Source organism: Homo sapiens, chromosome 2 (genome assembly GCF_000001405.40).
Source record: "Homo sapiens chromosome 2, GRCh38.p14 Primary Assembly".
Classification (NCBI taxonomy): Eukaryota; Metazoa; Chordata; class Mammalia; order Primates; family Hominidae; genus Homo; species Homo sapiens.
The window spans coordinates 131,039,210-131,059,138 of NC_000002.12; the positions used below are offsets into that span (position 1 = coordinate 131,039,210).

The window sequence follows — 19,929 nt, forward strand, 5'->3', positions numbered from 1 at the left end:
TTCCTCTTCTGGTGAGCCCTCGGGGGCCAGAGAGGAGAGCAGTCGAGAAATGAGTGTGTGCAGACACTAGGCACCCCTCTGCGATACCCCCGCAACTCCAGGCGCTAGACATTTCCCAAGCCCTGAAGAGCACTGATAGGGGACTGCTCACCTCACACACAGCCCCGGGAGTGGGAACCATGACTTACACCTGAAGAAGTTGAGGCACGGTCAAGTTATTAGCCCTGGAGATAGCAGAGAGGGGACCTGGATTCCATCTAAGGGGGTCTCCAGTCTTCAAGGAAGGAATCCAGGTGCAGTCTCCAAAAGGCCTGGCTCAGGGCGTCCAAGCTGAGGGCCGTCCGGCGGGGAGGTCCCAGGCCCTGGTGTTCAGATGCTCCTCCTGCCCCAGATCCCCTGGGAAACTGTCCACTCCGCACCCTAAGCCTTTCCCCAAGTTGCATGTTAGCCAGCGGGCGCGCCACCCATCCCCCTGCTTCTGCCCGCTGGGGCTGGCAGGAGCAGGCACTGGTTCAGGAACTGCAGCAAGCGCTCCAGCCTCTGTGCCGGGCACAAGCAGGGTCTAGGAAGGAGGCCAAATCGGTATTCGGATCACACTGACGGCGGCTGCGGGCGTCGGAGTCGTCATTCCTCGGTCCAGGACTTGCGTGGGTGGCGTGGTGGGGGGAGCTGGCCGGCCAGTCCTCAGCCCTGCGCCCCGTACACCCTGCGGGGCCTCCGAGGCCCGGTTCCCGCCGCTGCGGCGCAGGGCGCGGGGCGTTGCTCCGAGGGATGCGGGGCACTGACCGGCCACGCATGGCCTGCAGCTGAGGGTGAATCAGGACGAGCCCGCGGATGACGACGCCCCTCTGGCCGGGAACAGCGGAGCGGAGGACGGCGGGGCGGAGGCGCAGAGCAGCAAGGACCAGATGCGGACCAACGTCATCAACGAGATCCTCAGCACTGAGCGGGACTACATCAAGCACCTGCGCGACATCTGCGAGGTGAGGCCCGGCCGGCGGGCGGTGACTGGGGACCCGGTCGGGGGAGGCCTAACCACGTCCGCCCGCAGGGCTACGTCCGGCAGTGCCGCAAGCGCGCAGACATGTTCAGCGAGGAGCAGCTGCGTACCATCTTCGGGAACATCGAGGACATCTACCGCTGCCAGAAGGCCTTCGTGAAGGCCCTGGAGCAGAGGTTCAACCGCGAGCGCCCACACCTGAGCGAGCTGGGTGCCTGCTTCCTGGAGCATGTGAGCGCGCGGCCCCCGGCCCCTACCTGGGCGCTGCGTTCACAGAGGCTGCCGCGGGCGCCAGCGCGGACAGCGGGTGGCTGGTCCCAAAACCTTCCACAACGCCTGGGCCCCAGCTCCAGCCCTCTATCTGCCCCGCTGCCCGCACCCTTCAGGACAGTTTTAGGATGGTCTCTGCTTCTGTGTGGCGAAACCAAGTCAGGGAACGCTCCTGGGAGCAGAGGGCTGGGGCGTCCCCCAGGAAGGACTTGCTTTGACAGATAGGAGGGCAGAGGCCTGCCGAGCGCCGCAGGGGCTGTTCAGAGTGAGCTCTGGGGTTTCTCACACAGGGAGAATTTACAGCCTGCTTAGGCGGCAGATGCCGGCTGGCATTTACCAAGGTTCACTGGGCCGCTCTAAGTGGACACCTCCTAGCCTCACCTGGTAGAGAAGGGCCTTGTTTTGGCCCTCTTGGGCAGTCGAGCGAGGGTGAGCAGAGGATGCCTGTCCCACCCAACCCCCTACCACCGCCGCTTTTGGCATTGTTATCCCGTCCTTGTTATCATGGATTTCACCCAGAAGGCTAGCGTGCAGCCGGGACACCTGCTCATATTCTCACCATTCCCACCCCTGTGTGTGACTCCATGTAGCTTATGCCCCAGGGAAATAGGTACACACAGCCTGGGTCTCCCCTAGCCCCCAGCCCAGCTCCTGAAGGAAATGTAGAGGCTCTTGCCCTTCCCACACATGCAGCTGGATTGCCTGTGGGAGCAGCAGAGAGCTCTGCTAACCTCCAGCTGTGCCCCTTAGCAAGCCGACTTCCAGATCTACTCGGAGTACTGCAATAACCACCCCAACGCCTGCGTGGAGCTCTCCCGGCTCACCAAGCTCAGCAAGTACGTGTACTTCTTCGAGGCCTGCCGGCTGCTGCAGAAGATGATTGACATCTCCCTGGATGGCTTCCTGCTGACTCCGGTGCAGAAGATCTGCAAGTACCCTCTGCAGCTGGCCGAGCTGCTCAAATACACGCACCCCCAGCACAGGTAGGAGGGCACTGAGGCAGGGAGGCAGCCCACGCCTCTGCATGCCTCCAGTCAGCCAGTTTGAGCATTAGCAGTGTGCTGGGCACTGCTGCAGCCCTGGGGCAACACACAGAAAACTAGCCCTGTCCTGATGAGCTCCTTGCAATGGGGGAAGAGGATGCCAACAGGATATTAAGCTCTGCTCTGTGCTTGCCATTTATGGAGAAGAGAGGGGCTGTGCATCTGATAGTGAGGATGTGGTCAAAGGGCACAGCCCCAGAGGAAAGCAGCTCCACACGTGGGGGCTGCAGGGGATCCTCACCCTTTCTCTGTCTCCAGCCTGCAGCAGCCTTCCATCTCTGTTCTGCCCCAGGGACTTCAAGGATGTTGAAGCCGCCTTGCATGCCATGAAGAACGTGGCCCAGCTCATCAACGAGCGGAAGCGGAGACTTGAGAACATCGACAAGATTGCTCAGTGGCAGAGCTCCATAGAGGACTGGGAGGTGAGGGCCTGGGGGCACAGAAAATTCCAGGAGGTCTTGGCCCCTCGCTTTAAAATCATGCTTGCCCCTGAAAAATCTAGAAGGGAGCTGAAGCAGGGAGCTGCGCTCCTGGGAGCTAGCAACAGATGCTCATGGTGTGAAAGCCTGTCCCCAGCGTGGGCTCTGGACCTTTGCTGCTGCCTACCGTAGCAGGCTTTGGCACCTGGTGGCCTCTTTTCTATGTGAAACTCCTCCCATGAGCAGCCAGCCAGCCCAGGAGAAGCCCTCAACAGAGGAAGTGTGTTCCTCAGCTGTGTTCTGTTCCTCTGCCTTCAGGGGACAGGCCAGATCCCTGTTTTAGTTCACTTCTGGGACTCCTAACAGAAGGCTGCAGGCCCAACACAGCATGACCAAAAATGCATCGCCACCCATCAGAGCCTCCTGGTTCTGTTTGTCTGACTTGCACATTTCCCTTTGCATCTGCCAATCTTGCCTTAGAACTAATGACGATGTTCCTGTCCCCCTCCACCCACCCCCACTTGCATCTGCCAATCTGCCACCTCCTGATCTGTTCCCGAAGGCTCCCTACCCACATGGGTGCTGCCACCACCATGCACCAGCTGTCAGCGAGAGAAATGGCCTGGAAATCAATCAGTATCAGCCACAGAACATTATGAAAATACAGATTCCAGGGCCCCACCCTAGACACAGTGAATCAGAAGCCCTGGGGCGGGGCTGAGGAATAGGGGCAGTCAGCTGTGAGGCGGGGCTGAGCAATAGGGGCAGTTGTGAGGCCCAGCCCTGGCTCAGGGCCCTCCAGAGTCACTCATCCCAAACAGGCCACCGCCAACCACTCCCAGCTGGGGTTTGCATTTTCAAGGTAGAATGAGACCAGGGCAGGGCTTAGTCTAAAAGTATGAAGCCCAAGGGTGGATGATGGACCTTCAGGTACTCAGTGCACTTAGCTGGGAAGAGGGCCTCCTTAGAGATCTCAAAGGTTGGCCTCAGAGGTGAATCCCAGACAGGCCTAATTCTTCTCTAGGGCAGCACTGTCCAATCAAACTAGTATGTGAGCCACATATGGAATCGTATGCTATGCAGTAGCCATCTTTAAAAAGGGAAAAAAACAAGTGAATTTAATTTTAATAATGTTTCATTTAACTCCAAAATAGCATTTCAACTTGTGATCAACTATCATTAATGAAATATTTTACATTATTTCATATGAAGTCTTCAAAATCAATATGTATCTTACACTGACATCACATCTAATTAATATGGATTAGCCACACTTCCAGTGCCCAACAGCCACCAGAGGCCACTGGTGACAGGGGGCTCCTATTTTGCAAGGACAGCCAACTCACAGGCCAGACGTGCCACCTCTTCCTCCCCCTCCCACCATGGCCTGGCCAGGTGGGCGCTGCAGGCAAGGCCAGGGGGAGGTGCGCCACCCACCCATGATGGGGGCAGGAAGTGGAGCCCACGGTTGGGTATGCGAGGCTCATGGTTCTCCTTGGGATCTTCCCAGGGAGAAGATCTCTTGGTCAGGAGCTCAGAACTCATCTACTCGGGGGAGCTGACTCGAGTTACACAGCCTCAAGCCAAAAGCCAGCAGCGAATGTTCTTTCTCTTTGACCACCAGCTCATCTACTGTAAGAAGGTACCAGAGCTGCTCTGCCCTGCTGCCCCAAGTTGAGCAAGTGGAGGGAGGGGAGCTGAGGGCTGGGAGCAGCTGCCCAGAAGACAGGTGCCAGCCAGACCATACCCGGGGAGCCTGGCCAGACCCTTGGGGCTGGGATGGGGTGGCTCTCTGCAGGTGAGCCTGGTGGCCCAGGAGCAGCAGGCGGCTTTCACAGTCTGACCAGGCCGGGTGCTGTTGAGAGCATGATCTTTCCTGACCTGGCCGCTGCTTGCTCCTCAAGCTACCTCTTCTCTCCCTGCAAACCTCCACATCCCCTCTCTCCAACCCCGGAGTCCCCTGCTCTAGCCACCTCCCAGCTTCCTCTACGCTGCCGGCTTCTGCTCCTCTTTCAAAACATGGCCCAGTGGCCTCATGTCCATGAAGCCCTCCTTGTCCACGGGTGATCTTTCCTACGTGTGGTGTGAGCCACTGTCTTAGTCTCCCCACCTCAAAGACAGGGCCAACCCCGGGCTAGTCAGTACCTGCAAAATAAAGGAGCAAGGCCTCTCCACTCATGGCTCAGCATGTCTGTGGGCTGCAGAAGGCATGCTCTGCCCTCAGGATCTCACTGTCTGCTGGGGAGGTGGAGGCATCACCAGCAGCCCCTCCTATGGCTGGGGAGAGGAGGTGGGAGCAGCCAGGAAATGGTCAGGGGAGCGGTTCAGCAGCCAGGGCTGAGGCCAGCATCTGGCAGGACCTGCTCCGCCGCGACGTGTTGTACTACAAGGGCCGGCTGGACATGGACGGCCTGGAGGTGGTGGACCTGGAGGACGGGAAGGACAGAGACCTCCATGTGAGCATCAAGAACGCCTTCCGGCTGCACCGTGGCGCCACAGGGGACAGCCACCTGCTGTGCACCAGGAAGCCCGAGCAGAAGCAGCGCTGGCTCAAGGCCTTTGCCAGGGAGAGGGAGCAGGTGCAGCTGGACCAGGAGACAGGTTCGAGACCCTGCTGGGCCTTGCCCCGCCCCCAGGGCCCACCCGGCGCTCCCGCCTGCCTGGCCGCCTGCCGGTCAGGAGAGCGCCGCTCAGCCCTCTCAGGTTGCAGGGTGTAGCAAGGCTCCAGGCACCTCTAGGTCCCAGTCATGAGCATAAGGCTTTGCCTTCATCACCTCAATGGCAGGGTTACCTGACCGCATCCCATGATACAGTTTCGCAGAGTTCAGCCCCAAGGCATGGGTCTGCTGGCTTTTGGGGAGTTGTTTCACTACACGCGCTCACATGTGCACACACTCCATAGGACGGGGTCCTCTGCGCAGTGCCCTGGGTTGCTGGGACCTGCGGGACCCCTTTCCAGCCAGCAAAAGCCCTGGGAGAGCCTTGGAGTGGGCTGTGGGTACTGGCCTCAGAAGCCTCCCCTGCCCCATGCACGCAGACATCTCCCCACTACACCTTCCCTCCTGTCCACGGGCCCCCACATTACCCGCCACAGTGACCAGGTCGGCTCTTGGTCTGGGAAGGAGCCTCCACTGCAGTGGAAAAGACACTAGACATGGAGTGAAGGTGAGAGATGGGTGGGCAGAGGAAGGACTCGGGGATCTTCATTTTCTGCCAGGAGCCCCAGGACAGGACACCAGAGCATGCCCTCTGCCCTGGTTGGCCAAGGCAGGCTGACTGTGCAGAATGGGCAACAGTCCCCGCTGTGGCCAGTACTGAGTCCCCAGTACATGATGAGACCCTGGGCACCAGGAAGGTGCAGGTGTGCAGGGAACTGCACCTGGGGCCACGAAGTGGGGCAGCGCCCTCACCTGTGCCCCTTCCTCAGGCTTCTCCATCACTGAACTGCAGAGGAAGCAGGCCATGCTGAATGCCAGCAAGCAGCAGGTCACAGGGAAGCCCAAAGGTAGGCGGACAGCAGCCCCACCTCCTCGGCTGCCCGGTCCTTACCCTGCTGACATCATTCCCTTCTCTGAACCACAAAGCCAAGCCAGCTAGCCACCAGGCCTGAGGGGGGCCCACTGCCCTTTGCAGCTGTTTGTTCCCAAAGGTTGGTAATAAGGGGCCACTGGGGAAGCCTGGGTCAGTATATGGTTGACATTCTTACTCTCAACACCTTGGCTCCCCCAGATCAGGGCCATTGGTGACAATGCTTGTTTCCCCAGGGTTCCTTCCTGACAGGCATCTGGGGTTGGTGTAGGGATGGAGCTGCTTTCCCCATTTCTACAGAGAGCCATGCCCCTGAAACATCACATGCCTTTGCACAGGCCACCCCCCTCTTCAGGCTGCTGCAGGAGGCCAGGCCCAGGCCAGAGACCCCAGGCAGCCTGAGCTCTTGGATGTGGTCAGCTCTCCAGGAGCAAGTCCTGTGTGGCAAAACTGCCTCCTACGGCGGCTCTGAAGCAGAGCCCTGGGACGGACCCCATGCTGTCCCCAACAGCTGGGGTGGCACTCTGCCCTGGGCACCCATGACCCTCTGCTGTCTCTCCCTGTTCAGCTGTTGGCCGGCCCTGCTACCTGACGCGCCAGAAGCACCCAGCCCTGCCCAGCAACCGGCCCCAGCAGCAGGTCCTGGTGCTGGCGGAGCCCAGGCGCAAGCCATCTACCTTCTGGCACAGCATCAGCCGGCTGGCACCCTTCCGCAAGTGAACTGGTCCCTGCCTGACAGCACCTGCTGGGCCTTCCTGCCAGTGGCCCCCAGTTTTTCTTCCCCGAGGCCCACTCGGCCTGGCCTTCCTCTGCCTGCAAGTGAGCAGGGATGGGCTGGGGAGTTGCTTGTGCCACCAAGACGTGCCAGGTCTGTACTCCTGTTGTCTTTTTCCCTGCTCCTGGTGCCCTGAAGAGACCAGCAAGGGGGCAGACCCCGCACTCGCCACACCGCCGCTGCAGCTTGGGCCCCATCCGCCCTCTGGACCTGTGTAGGGCCTCACTGCTGGAGCGGGGAAACCGCAGCTCAGCCCAGGCCCAGCTGGGGAGAAGGCGCTACCTGCGTGGGACCCTCTTCTCTGGAAACCTAATCCTCCTTTCATTTCCTCTGGGCAGGACTCTCTGGCCTTCTGTGGCCTGCAATGCCAGGCCATGTGCCCCTCTGCCCTCTAGTTCTCCAAGTCCCCAGCCCGGCCAGTGGTGCCAGGCAGCTTGCCACTTGGGAGGGCAGAAGCCAGGAATTCCACACCCTTGTGTTGCGCCCGGAGCCCGCCCTTCGCCTCCCAGCCCCTCAAGACACCGCTGGCTGCTGGACACCCTCTTCACTTGTGTGTGTGTGTGTAGCGGAAAAGGACAAGACGGTGCAGTCGGCTGCATACTCCCAGTCGGGAGTGTGGTCAGTCTGCCTGCTGCTGTGCGGTAGCTCCAGAACCACCTCGTTCCTGGTTTTGTTTGGATTTTGGCATCTTGTTTTTCTAACAACAAACAATGGAGAAAAAGAATTGATTCTTAGTGACACAGAAGATTGCCTTACGCTCGTGAGCGTGAGAAGCCATAAGAGAGAGACCGAATTCTGTGGCTCAGCACACAGGACTGACCCACAGCCCAGGCAGCGGGTGTGTGGAGATGGCGCCCTGTCCTGCCAAGGGGCGCCAGGAGCAGAGCCAGGGCCTGGCGAGCTGGCGTGGAGCCCACAGGATTCAGCAGCATGGACAGTCACTCTTGCACTATTCCTTCTCCAAGCCAGAAACCACATTTAATTTCATAAATAAATTTATGAAAAGTAACCTGGCTGCTAGCCCGTTTTCTGTGGGTGTGCGTGCATTTTCCTGTGGCCAGCAGCCTCTAAAGGTGGGGTGGGGGCTCACCTGTCGCAGATCACACCCTCGGGGATTTAGTGGAGATGATAGGCTGAGGCGGGGCTGGCTGCAGTTGTTCGCCTAAGGCGAGCAGGGCCAGGCCATGCTGGTTGCTGATGGGGAATACAGGTAGCTCTGCCCTCCCTTGCACTCAAGACCCAGAAACCAGTGCTTCCCTGTGTTTGTTTGACTGGAGCTGGCCCACGTGAGTTTGGTGGGTGAGTAGTCAGTAATCTTTCTGGGCCTCAGCATCCCTGGTGAAATGAGGAAGAACGTGTCTTCCCAGGGTCTTCTGACCCTGGCCACAGAAGCCAGAAGGGGAGCATGGTGCTGCTTCCCTCCCTGTCCCACTTGGGAAAATGGTCCCCTGCAACCTGCTGCCTCCACCACACTCCAGCACTGCCAAGGTCACTGGGGCTGGACGCCATGGTGGTCTTCTTCTCAAAACCCCTGGCAATCTCCCAACTTGAGAGAAGCCCCAGCACCTCCCAGTCAGGCCATGCTACCTCTAGACAAAAACCCATATGGAGAAATCATGAAAACCACAATATGCAACACAAGTCAATCTTTATTGAAAACTGCAGTATTAATACATAACAATTCTTGTTACAATAAACGTGCTTTTGAGATTTTTAAATCTGAGCTCATCTCATCAGATTGCATAAAAAATTAAAATAGTATCAATTGACACCTAACTGAACTGGCTCAGGATGGAAATTCCATTCCTTGGCATGGATACGTAAGTTCAATGCAGAGGTGAGGGATGCCTTTAACACTGGAAGACAATGCTGACTTAGCTTAAAAAAAGTACCGAGAGAACGGTGTAAAAAACGGTATTTAAAAATCATTTTTAAAAAAACAAAAAGGAACCGTTTCTTCTTTAGTTACAATCCATGAGGCTCTCTAGGGCCTCTCCGTGTGGCCAGCACAGCAACCCTGCTAGGAGCACAAACGGCTGGCCTGAGATCTGGCCCAGCTGCCTTGCCCACTGGTCTGCACAGGGACTCATGGGCACAGCCTGTGGTGAGGAGGAGACACCTGTCATGCCAGTCCTGGGAGCACACCACCCTTCTGCAGGCCCGGGGGGGGGTCCCTACACAGACGCCGCTCATCCTCTGTCTCCCCTTCCCAAGTGACTTCACTTCAGTCCTGTGGACCAAGATAAGGCTATCCCCACAGGCTCTCTCTTCTTCAAATAATGAGTAGGAAAAAGAGACAAACTTTCTGAAACATGCAGTTTCCGACCCAAATAGGCCACATACCCCAACTTCTGTGTTACTTGGTCAGTTGAGCCCCTGGAGCCCTCAGGACCTACTGATAAAGCATGTCCTCTGCAGTATACTCAAGAGTCTGCTGCCCTTCAGAAAGCCAGAGGGAACACTCACAAATGCAGAGGTACTAGAGGGGAGAAATACGTGCTCTGCCTTCCCCCAGGCCAACCACACTCTGCTTTAGAGACCCTCTCAGAAAGCACCAGAGAGGAGGACCAGACGCTGCCACCCACCTCAAGCCACACCCCTGCCACCTGCTGCTGCGCCCAATGGAGGTCCTGTCCTGTCCGGGCAACAGCCAAACTGGCGACAATGGACACATCCAACAGTCAGCTGTCGGATAAGGTGAAGGTGGCCCAACTGCTCAGAGTAACACTGTTCTCAAATGTTTAAAAAGGACAGGTGAAGTCTGGGTCTCCTTTTTTAAAGCAGACACCAATACTTACATAACTAGTACATGTTGGCCTTTCACCAGCACTCACTGGCACTCACAGGTGCCTTACATACCTTACGGGGGCCAACACTGACAGGTATTAGTACGTCGCAAGTTGCTGTAATAATGTATTTCCTCTCGTTACTGTTGTGTCCCCCAAGACACATGCAAATTATTTCCTAGACCTCATTCATCACAGCCAGATGATGCCACCAGAAAGAGCAAGGTACTGTATGCCCAGCTGGGGAAGGGCAAGACACTCACTGACCAGGTGCCCACCCCAAGGCTCAGGACCACCCCCATTGCCTGTGAACACATTTGCATAGCACTCAAGAAGGTTTCCCAGAATAGCGACAGGTAGGCCTACAAACCACACCAAGAAGAACGTTCTTAACAGATGGCTCACGAGAGACATAAAAGGTTCTGGAAGTGCCTTCAGGCCCATTACCATGACTGGCCCTGACTCTGGCCCTCACAGAGCGGCAAGTTCATGGGTCACTGGCTCACACTAAATGCTCAGCCGCCAGCACAGATCCAAACAAGACCTCCATGAGCAGAGAAACTGCAGCGGCTGAACACACTCCCCAAGCCTCAGGGGAGAAGGTGTAGAACAAATATTTTTTAAATAGCCATCATGATGTCCATGTTTACATGAACTAGGTCCTTTGCTTACCTGCTGTCTCAACTTCTAAAAGAATAGTAATTCAGCTGAAGGACTCCCAAATTAGGAATGTCAAACACACAAAAAGCAAATTTCTCAGAATGCTCCACCATATGCTTCGGGACAAATTATGAAGCTTTGTAACAGAATTTTGACCCAAGTTCTATTTCTTAATTGACTTTAATTTTACTAGAAGCGAATGTTGATAAAATTACAACCTATGACAGTTTTGTGACTATTTCCTAAGTCCAGATTCTTACCTGATATCTACCTTTCGTATCTGACAGCTGACGTCCTAAAAATTTCAAAGTCAGAAAGATTTCTGCACGGATGTGCAATGCAAACTTATTTCATAAAGCCTCTCAACTTCATAAAAGGGAAAAAAGGTTAAGTTACAGGGAGGAAGAAAAGTGTTTATGAAGCTGATGTAAATGGCGTGTGGGGGGTGCAGCCCACTCTTTAAAACACCATCCTGTGTGTGCCAAGTACCAAGCAAGCCTGAAGAGATGCCTGTAACTTCTAACCTCCTCCTGAACCCCAAGACTCCAGCCCTCACAGGAGTTGTACATGTATGTTTCCATTTTGTTGTGTGGGGCTTTTTAAAAGCATACACTAACATTGTGAGTATTTTATCCTAATCTATTAGCACTCAATTGGGAAAAAAGACTTCTCTGCTACTTGGTCAGCTGAACCCCTGGAACCGTTAGAACCTACTAATCCTGCCAACCATCCACTAAACAGATGGAATTACCAACAGAGACTTGAAGAAAGGGGCACAAACTGTGTGCCTGCGGTAAATGTCTGCCCCCACACATAGACACTAAGATGGATTAAGTGCTCATGAAGCAATTTAAAGTACTTATCAGTAAACATTCTATGTTAATAGACATCAGGAATAAAGAATCTGCTGTTTACAATGATCCATGCAAAAATATTCCTAAACTTCTTATAAAATAAGATGTGAAAAAGAAAATTATAAGAAGTACTTACTATAAAAAATAAGGTTACCAAAGGCTCAGTGGTCAGGTGTCCCCCCACCAACCAACTGGGGCAGAATGCTAGTGGGCATCCTCACTGGGCGCCAGTGCCCTGACCCAGCTACCAGCAAATGAAGAGGAGCAGAGCCCCCTCCCCACCAGAGCCCACAGCACTCAAACCACCACTGCACTGGGAAGAAGACGCACGCTCCTGCCCTAGAGGCCGCTGAAAGGGACCCAGGCCTTACATCCCCCACCCCCACTCTGACCCTCACTGAGAACCGACATGCACTCTCATGGATACAGGACGGGCATATTTTGGGGGCGGGGTGGAGGGAAGCCTTTTCATTTCTTATGTACAAGATTCAGATCCTAAACTCAAATTCCTCTCCCACAATAAACCCTGCCAGCAAACGCACTCCAGCACTGCCTGGCCCTCTCTGCTGTCTGTGCTTGCTTTGTGCCAAGTGCCCTCAGCTGCAAAAGAGATGGCAGGAGAGGCTCGCAGACAACAGACACTGGCCTCCCCCTCGCCCCATCTCTAAGCGTCCCCTCCAGCCGGCCTCAGCAGACAAGTCACCACCATCAGGTGGGTGATCCCAGAAGCAGCTACAGGTTTCTACATTTCCAGACATATCCACGGCCCTGCCTTTCTACAAGAAATTGGAGGAATTTTAAATAAAGTTTTGTTCCCTTTTAACTCATTCTTAAATATACCACTTTCTTCATAACATACAGCTGAAACCTTTGCCCTTCTTTGTTGGGGAAAAACAGCAATGCCTACCTGTTTTCAGCTGATTCAAACATTTCTCCAGGAAAAAAAAAAAAAAAGGAATGATTTTCTAAGCTAAATAAAGCAGAGGACAATACCTCCTGCAAGCATGGCTGTTTCTCTTTCACATTTCTTCCATCCCAGGAAAATAATTTAGTTTTACATAGGACTTTTCCAATAAAGACATATAAAAACATCATCTCTCTAAGAGAACTGTAATGAAAATTTAGATAGCAGAGAAACTGCTTTGCTGACACATAAACCACCCCCCTCGCCCCAAATTTCACTGGCCACACTACCATAATCTTTCATGATGAGCTTTAAGCATGTCCCTGTTCCACTGACTCCACCAAGCCTAAACTCAAAGGGATGTCCATGAACCAGCTGCACCCAAGCAGCTGTGGCTTCCCTACTCTCTCCCAAACCTCGCAACTCCCTCCCAGGACAGTCAGTGCCAAAGAAACAGGTCGCTGAAAACTAAAATGTCCACATCCCTAACTGGCAACCCACATCAACCCCAAAAGGTTGAAGAATCATCTAAGATATTTCAGATGCTCTATGAAGAAATTCACTTTAACACTTATAACTGTAAGACTTTGCATACATTACAACAGTGCATTAGTGATACAAGTTGTAAAATACGTTTCCATTCCTTTGGATTTTGCATATGATGGTTTTGCATCAGTCACTGCAGGTAGATTGAGCAAGCTTTTTGTGTTTGTTTTTTTAAACATGCATTCAACTAGATATGATTCAGAATAGATTAATACTCCCTTTTTATCATTACAGTTAGCTAAAAAATTGCCAGGCAGTCCACAAAACAGAATTTGCTTTAAGACCAACCCACAGAGTCAGCTGGAGACTAACGGCGCTGGGGCCTGCTGGGCCGGGATATAGTCGTGTTTAGCTAAGTGTCGAGAGCATTAAGAAGAAAGTCCTGGTTGGAGGCGCAAGGCCTGCAGCACCAGCTGTGGAATCCCCAATAATGTGACTGCACAGCTCCGTCCTCAAACCTGCAGAAAGGAAGACAGACACTCAGTCACACAGAGCTCTTCCGGCACCGCTATTCCAAAATCTCAAGTAGGATGAGGCCCAGCAGGGTCGGAAAGGGCAGCAATGGGCAAAACTGCTGGACCTGGTTCTCACTTCCTTCCTAGAGACCCCCAATTGCAACTGGAGCCCTATTTCCTGTAGCAGGCAGGTGGGGGGTTAGAGCACATTCCAGGCAAGGCTCAAGATGGACAGTGTCAACAGTAGGTATTCAATGGTTCCTTCCTTCCTTCTACTCTGTAATGTCTCAATAAAAACAAAAAATTTAAACACTACATTGCCTCTGGATCCAGGGTCAGGCACACTTTCCTCGTTAGTGCTTAAATATGTGGTAAATTTGCCACTGTCCCATGGAAATGCCCTTTCATCAAAGGCTAGCCCAGCCTTCCCTGGTCACTTACATTTGCAGGTGATCACCACTGAGGGGGCACATAGCTGTAAGTGGGCGTTCCTGGGGCCCGGTACGTGGGCACAGTGACCGGGTGGGGGGCGACAGGAGTTGGGGAGTGAGCAGTCAGCAGGGTACCTGGAAGAAAGAGCAGCACATGACATGAGGCTGACCTCCTGCACAGCTCCACACTGCCTGATACGCACACAAGCCTGGCCTCTTTGCAAGGAGGAGGGTATACAGGAAGAGGGATAGTCTTGACCCAGATACTGTCAGAACTCTGATTAGATAATCCCCCACACCCAAAAGTTGTCTCCACACAGCAAGCTCCACAGACAATATGTTCGTAAAAGCCTTTTGTGTGTCCCCTTCATAAAGCACACCCAATAATTTTTATAGGTCAGATGATAAACAAATGAGTATGCTTCAGCCTTAACAAGGAAGGAGATTCTGACACATGCTACAATATAGATGAACCTTAAGAACATAATTCTGAAAGAAAGAAGCCAGTCACTAAAAGACAAATACTTAATGATTCCACTTAGATGAAGTACCTGGAGTAGTCAAATTCAGAGACAGAAAGAAAGTAGAACAGGGAATTAGCGTTAATGAGTACAGGAGTTCAGATTTGCAGGATAAAGACGTTCTGGAGCTCTGTTTCACAACAATGTGAATATACTTAACACTACTGAACCGTACTTAAAAAGGGTTAAGATGGGCTGGGCACAGGGGCTCATGTCTGTAATCCCAACACTCTGGGAGGCTGGGGTGGGAGGATAGCTTAAGTTCAGGAGCTTGAGATGCGCCTGGGCAACATAGTGAGATCCCAGCTCTACAAAAAGTTTTAAAATTAGCCAGGTGTGGTAGCATACTTATAGTCCCAGCTACTCAGGAAGCTAAGGTGGGAGGATGGCTTGAGCCCATGAGTTCCAGACTACAGTGAACTGTGATCGCACCACTGCACTCAAGCCTGGGCAAAAGGGCAAGACCCTGTCTCAACAAAAAAAAGTTAAGATGGTAAAAACAAATAAATAAAAAACAAGAGGCTGGCAACAGTGACTCACGCCTGTAAGCCCAGCACTCTGGGAGGCCGAGGCAGGTGGATCACCTGAGGTCAGGAGTTCGAGACCAGCCTGGCCAACATGGTGAAATCCCATCTCTACCAAAAGGTACAAAAAAATATTAGGCAGGCATGGTGGCAGGCGCCTGTAGTCCCAGCTACTGGGAAGGATGAGGTGGGAAAATCACTTGAACCTAGGAGGCAGAGGTTGCAGTAAGCTGAGATCACACCACTGCACTCCATCTTGGCTGACAGGATGAGACCCTGTCTTAAAAAAAAATATTAAAAATTTTAAAATTAAAAAAAAAAAAAAGAAATGAGGATTCTAAACTACATGAGCTTCTGAGTTCTTTAAGAGAAATCTATTTTTCCTACAACTGCAGAAACTCAACAACTACTTGAGTCCCTTTATGGACCAGCACCACCTCCAACACAGTGGCACCCAACCTGGTGCCTGCTGCCCTCCCTCCCTGTGCCTCAAACCAGCAGTTTCTGTCTATGCCCAGTTTCCTGTTCCTTGACAGATAAGTATGGGGAAAACCAAATCAGAGTCTACATTGAAGCACACATAATAACCCGGAATGCTTTTCTCTCTGGCATAATTTCCTTACACTGAAGTCAAGTCCAGAAAAACAAGGAGGGAACAGTACGCTTTTGTGTGGGCATGACCTAAAGGTGGTCATATTGACCCAGAGACCAGGAGGTGAATCCACATGGGTGGTCATACAGATTGGGTGGTCACCCAATCCCTAGACATCAGATCAAACCCCCAGGGCTTCCGCGGAGATGTGCCCATCCCAGCCAGGGGCCTCATCTTTCCATGGTTTATTTTCCTTAGAGGAGGCCTTGCAAAGTAAAGTACGGTAGATGAATGCCAAAGGATTTCTACAGGCAGCTGTTTCTTCTATCAACGCAAGACCAGCTCTCCTAGATGCATGAAAACATCCCGATGAAGACAACTGACCTGCAAAGACAAGCTCCCCTCAAGGGAAAGGAAGAAGGCCAGAGCAACCCCGGTACACAAAGTGTCCTCCTTCTACTCAAGTCTTACATGGTCATAGGGGGTGGGAGGAGAGGGGGCACATCCTGCATTGCCAAATGGCTCAGTTCACCAACAAAGCGAGTCCATCAGATTCAGAGAGGCCTCCACAAGGGGTCACTCAGGTAGGCAAAATAAAAGATAACCTGCTGTTTCTTCCCCAAAGAATTTTCTGTCCTTCCACACAACTACAGCTATGAAAACCTAGAGCCAAGGGTCAGAGGATTCGTGAGCTCTCCCCTCCCCCAGCTCTAGGGTACACCATAGGACAGACACCGCAGGAACGAGGACTTACCTGCTGACATGGCCATGGTGGTCCCAGCCACCATGCCCATGGTGACCCCGTTGCCTCTAGGAGGGGGGATGGGAGCAGGGTACACCGTTGCAGGCATGCCGTTGGGCTGCACCACCGTGGTGTGGTGGATGACGTGAGGAGGTGCTGCATACAGCGGCTGTGTGTAGTACGTGCCTTGCTGTGGGGAGAAGAGAGACAACTGACACAGGGTCCCAGGGCCAAAGGATGAACGCCCAGGTGGTATCACCCCTTCCCACACAGCAGTGTGTACCCAAGCATACCTGTGCATACGGGCTCTGCTGGGGGTAGGCACTTCGCACAGGGTACACGGCAGTCTGGTAGGGGTTCGGGGAGGAGGAGTACGGTGGCACAGCCCCGCTGGTGGGGGAACAGGACACTTTGTAAGGTGTGCCAGGAGTGTAACCTGGAACAAAGAAGGCAATGGCCTGAGTTCACCCAAGCCGGTCCAGGCGCAGGGAGAGGACACAGGCAGGGAGGAGCTAAGCTGCGTGTCAGCCCCACGCAACTCGCCAGACCTGCTGCCACTGCCGCCCCCACTCTCCTCCACTAAGATCTGACTTCATTCTTACTTTGTGTACGTGTGTGCATGCACGTGTGTGTGGTGGCAGGGTGTTGGGGAGGAGGAAAAAATACCAAAAGAGAACGTTCTACAGATGGAATGCTCACACAAGGACAGGAAATAAAAACTGTCTTGTCCTGCTGGAATTTAAATTGGTATGGCATTCCTGGGGCTAAACTTGGCATCTAAAGTATATATGCCTTTTAATCCCACAATTCCACTTCTAGAAGTCTGTCTTAAAGCAATACACATGGATCTATACACACACAGAGACTTAACTGTAAGCATGCTCATCATAGTGTTGTTTGTTACAGCAAAAACAGGAGAAACTTGCCCAGCACCAGGACTGGCTAAGCACTCTATGGTAAAAAGCCCTCTGGGTTAAGGGAGAAAGCTGAACACACATACTTGCTTTTGTCCCCACACAAAATGACATGAAAATGACAATAAAGCAGATTAAGAGAAAAAAGACATAAAACTCACCAAGAATGGAAGAGAAGACAGCATGTTGAAGCCTGGCAAGCTGAAGTGGAGGATGATTGAGCAGACTCGAGAAGAAGGCACTCAGCCAGCAGCGAGGAGCAGCTGGCACCAAGAGAGCCGTTCCCCAAAGCCCTGCAAACTGCTGGCCACCAACCCGTCTCCAGAAGCAGATAAAGAGACCCCATCTAGTAGAGTGGTTGAGTTTGCTGAATAAGCAGTTAGGTGTCCCTTCCTGACCCCAACAGAGAAGAGGGGTTTGGTCTCAGGGGAGGGAGAGGGTCTCTGGACAGCTATGTTCACAGCAGCTATATTCACAATGATCAAAAGCTGGCAATGGCCCAGATGCCCACCAGGAGACAAATGGGTAAACACACTGTGGTGCATCCATACAAATCCTACTGAGCAAGCCAAAGGGACAAACTGCTGATCCATACAAGCACATGAATGAATCACAAAGCCACACCATGTCAAAGGAGCCAGATACAAGGACACATGCTGGATGCATGTACTGACAGAAGCTCTAGGAAAGACCAACCTAATCCAGAGTCATCAAAACCCCAGCAATGGTGCCAGGGGCCAGAGGGGCATGCGAGAACCTTTCCAAAGAGTGCATTCACTCAAATGTGGTGACGGTCATACAGCTGTGTATGACTGTCCAAACATACCAAACTGTACACTGAGAAGGATTAACTTATAATATGTAAATCAGACCTCCATACAAGTGCTTATGGCATCTCACATTCCCATGGGTGAGAGCAGGAGGGGTGGAGCACTCACACACTGTCCGTGTCAGACAGTGCAACTTTGCAAGCCAGAGACACATCCCGCAACATCCAGCAATCCACTCCCAAAACTTCCCCTAGAAAAATGAAAACACAGGTCCACGAAAGACTTGTAAAAAGTGTTCAATCTTATTCCTAGTAGCCAAAAATGGGAACTAATCCAAATCTTCATCAACTGGAGAAAGGATAAATCATGATATGTCTCTATAAACATTACTCAGCAATCAAAAGGAAAAAACATGGATGAATCTCACAACATGCTGAGCTTTCCAAAGAAGCTGGAAACAGAACAGCACATAGAGCAATGATCCCGTTTATTCCCTAACAACAAAGAAATTTACCTACGGTGACGGAAATCAGAGGGGAGAGGGCGAAGAAAGCGTTCTGGGATGATCAAAGTATTCCATGTTTTATTTGGAGTGGTGGTTCCATGGGCATGTACAACTGTCAAAACCCACCCAGTTGAGCACTTAATATGTGGGTGTTTTGTGCATAAATTATACCTCAAGTTTGAAAAAATGAGCTGAGTATAAAGAATTTTGGATCACCTGAGCCGGAGGTCAACGCTGCAGTGAGCTGTAATTATGCCTCTGCATTCTGCCTGGGCGACAAAGTAAGACGCTGTCTCAGAAAAATAGTAATAATAATTAAAGTTAATTTTTAAAAAATTTTACACAACTGGGCTGTTAGCAATATGTACGTGTGTGTATTTTTTTTTTATTTTTATTTTTTGAGATGGAGTCTTGCTCTATTCCCTAGGCTGGAGTGTAGTGGTGCAATCTCAGCTCACTGCAGCCTCCGCCTCCTGGGTTCAAGCAATTCTCATGCCCCAGCCACCCGAGTAGCTGGGATTGCAGGCATGTGCCACCACATCCAGCTAATTTTTGTAATTTTTAGTATAGACGGGATTTTGCCATGTTGGCCAGGATAGTCTGGAACTCCTGGCCTCAAATGATCCTCCTGCCTCAGCCTCCCAAAGTAGTAGGATTACAGGTGTGAGCCTGTATATATATATGTGCCTGGTCCATATATTTTGTTTTAATTTGAAAGGGAAAGAGAATGATTGGCCCCCTGGGAAATTCACTAGTCTGGGGCCTTTTGTTTGGGGTGCCAGTGCAATTCTGTGACATGGATATATTGCACAGTGGTGAAGTCTGGGCTTTTTCACCTAAATACTGCACACTGTATCAATTAAGCAACACGAAGCCTTCAACATCAGCCTTCTCATACTCCCCTGCATGCCCTTTCATGGTCTCACGGTGGGAGGTGCTGTGGCTGAGATCTGCAGCAGACCAAACAACAGGTGGTCCTGTCCTATGCAGCAAAGCGGGTGCTCACACCCAGATTTGTCTGCATCCAGAGTCCTGACCCTTCTACCCAAACCAAGCAACTCCCAACCTCAGCTAGTCTCCATTTGAAGAAAGAAAAGATTCCTCCAGGGCTCCCTGTATTTTGAAATTCGCTCACCGCTATGTTAACCGTAAATAGAAACACTGCCAAAATTTGAATACAACAACTTTTTAATACTGGTGCTTGGCCAAAGGAAAGCAGAATACGCAGATTTTCCATTAGGATTTGGAAAAGCAAGTTTCAAGACAAGAGCAGTTACAGAGTTTCCTTCTCTGGCTGCTCATCTCCTCGTCTTTAAGAAGGCTAAAAAAGGAAAGTGAAAAGGAAAGCTTCACAGGTGTACACAGGTTAAAACTCATCAAACTGAAGCTTTAAATCTGTACACTTAGTTGTATGCCAATTACGCCACAACGAGGTTGTATAACATTTTCTTTAATTATAAAGAAAAAGGTAGTGTGAATGCCATCAAAGAATTATAAAGGAAAAGGTAGTGTGTCCGGCCATGTACTGATACTCCCAGGAGACCCGGGACAGTCCAATTCCCCCTAAGTGACTAGCTAACTCAGGGAAGAAATGCAAAAAGGAAGCATGGTGTGTGGCGGGCACACATGTGACTAGTGAATGGTGACTGGGGCATTGTACCAACACAGAGAGGCTATTCACCATCAACAT

The 19,929-nt window shown here is 52.1% G+C and overlaps 2 protein-coding genes across 21 annotated transcripts in view, besides 1 other annotated feature; one reads left to right on the top strand and one right to left on the bottom strand.

Moving 5' to 3' along the window:
* ARHGEF4 (Rho guanine nucleotide exchange factor 4) overlaps nucleotides 1-8,044 on the top strand; it is a 210,340-nt gene extending 202,296 nt beyond the window's left edge. For all 8 annotated transcript variants that reach the window (NM_001367493.1, NM_015320.4, NM_001375901.1 and 5 more), the window contains 8 exons: nucleotides 807-983; nucleotides 1,052-1,231; nucleotides 2,021-2,253; nucleotides 2,606-2,735; nucleotides 4,243-4,374; nucleotides 5,090-5,333; nucleotides 6,160-6,237; nucleotides 6,829-8,044. In NM_001367493.1, the coding sequence (NP_001354422.1) occupies nucleotides 807-983; nucleotides 1,052-1,231; nucleotides 2,021-2,253; nucleotides 2,606-2,735; nucleotides 4,243-4,374; nucleotides 5,090-5,333; nucleotides 6,160-6,237; nucleotides 6,829-6,980 (1,326 nt within the window). In that variant the 3' untranslated portion in view covers nucleotides 6,981-8,044. The remainder of the gene's footprint in view (nucleotides 1-806; nucleotides 984-1,051; nucleotides 1,232-2,020; nucleotides 2,254-2,605; nucleotides 2,736-4,242; nucleotides 4,375-5,089; nucleotides 5,334-6,159; nucleotides 6,238-6,828) is intronic.
* Nucleotides 2,546-3,418: an enhancer, noted in NCBI's record as "H3K4me1 hESC enhancer chr2:131799328-131800200 (GRCh37/hg19 assembly coordinates)". NCBI's record gives its function as "activates a minimal SCP1, AML or CMV promoter by ChIP-STARR-seq in naive H9 embryonic stem cells {active_cell/tissue: H9 hESC(naive)}" and the evidence as "EXISTENCE:reporter gene assay evidence [ECO:0000049][PMID:30033119]".
* A 622-nt stretch (nucleotides 8,045-8,666) lies between the features above and the next one.
* The window catches only part of FAM168B (family with sequence similarity 168 member B), a 45,585-nt gene continuing 34,322 nt past the window's right edge, over nucleotides 8,667-19,929 (bottom strand). For all 13 annotated transcript variants that reach the window (NM_001321746.2, NM_001321745.1, NM_001009993.4 and 10 more), the window contains 4 exons: nucleotides 16,344-16,486; nucleotides 16,063-16,240; nucleotides 13,682-13,806; nucleotides 8,667-13,243 (listed from right to left, as the gene is read on the bottom strand). In NM_001321746.2, the coding sequence (NP_001308675.1) occupies nucleotides 13,694-13,806; nucleotides 16,063-16,240; nucleotides 16,344-16,486 (434 nt within the window). In that variant the 3' untranslated portion in view covers nucleotides 8,667-13,243; nucleotides 13,682-13,693. The remainder of the gene's footprint in view (nucleotides 13,244-13,681; nucleotides 13,807-16,062; nucleotides 16,241-16,343; nucleotides 16,487-19,929) is intronic.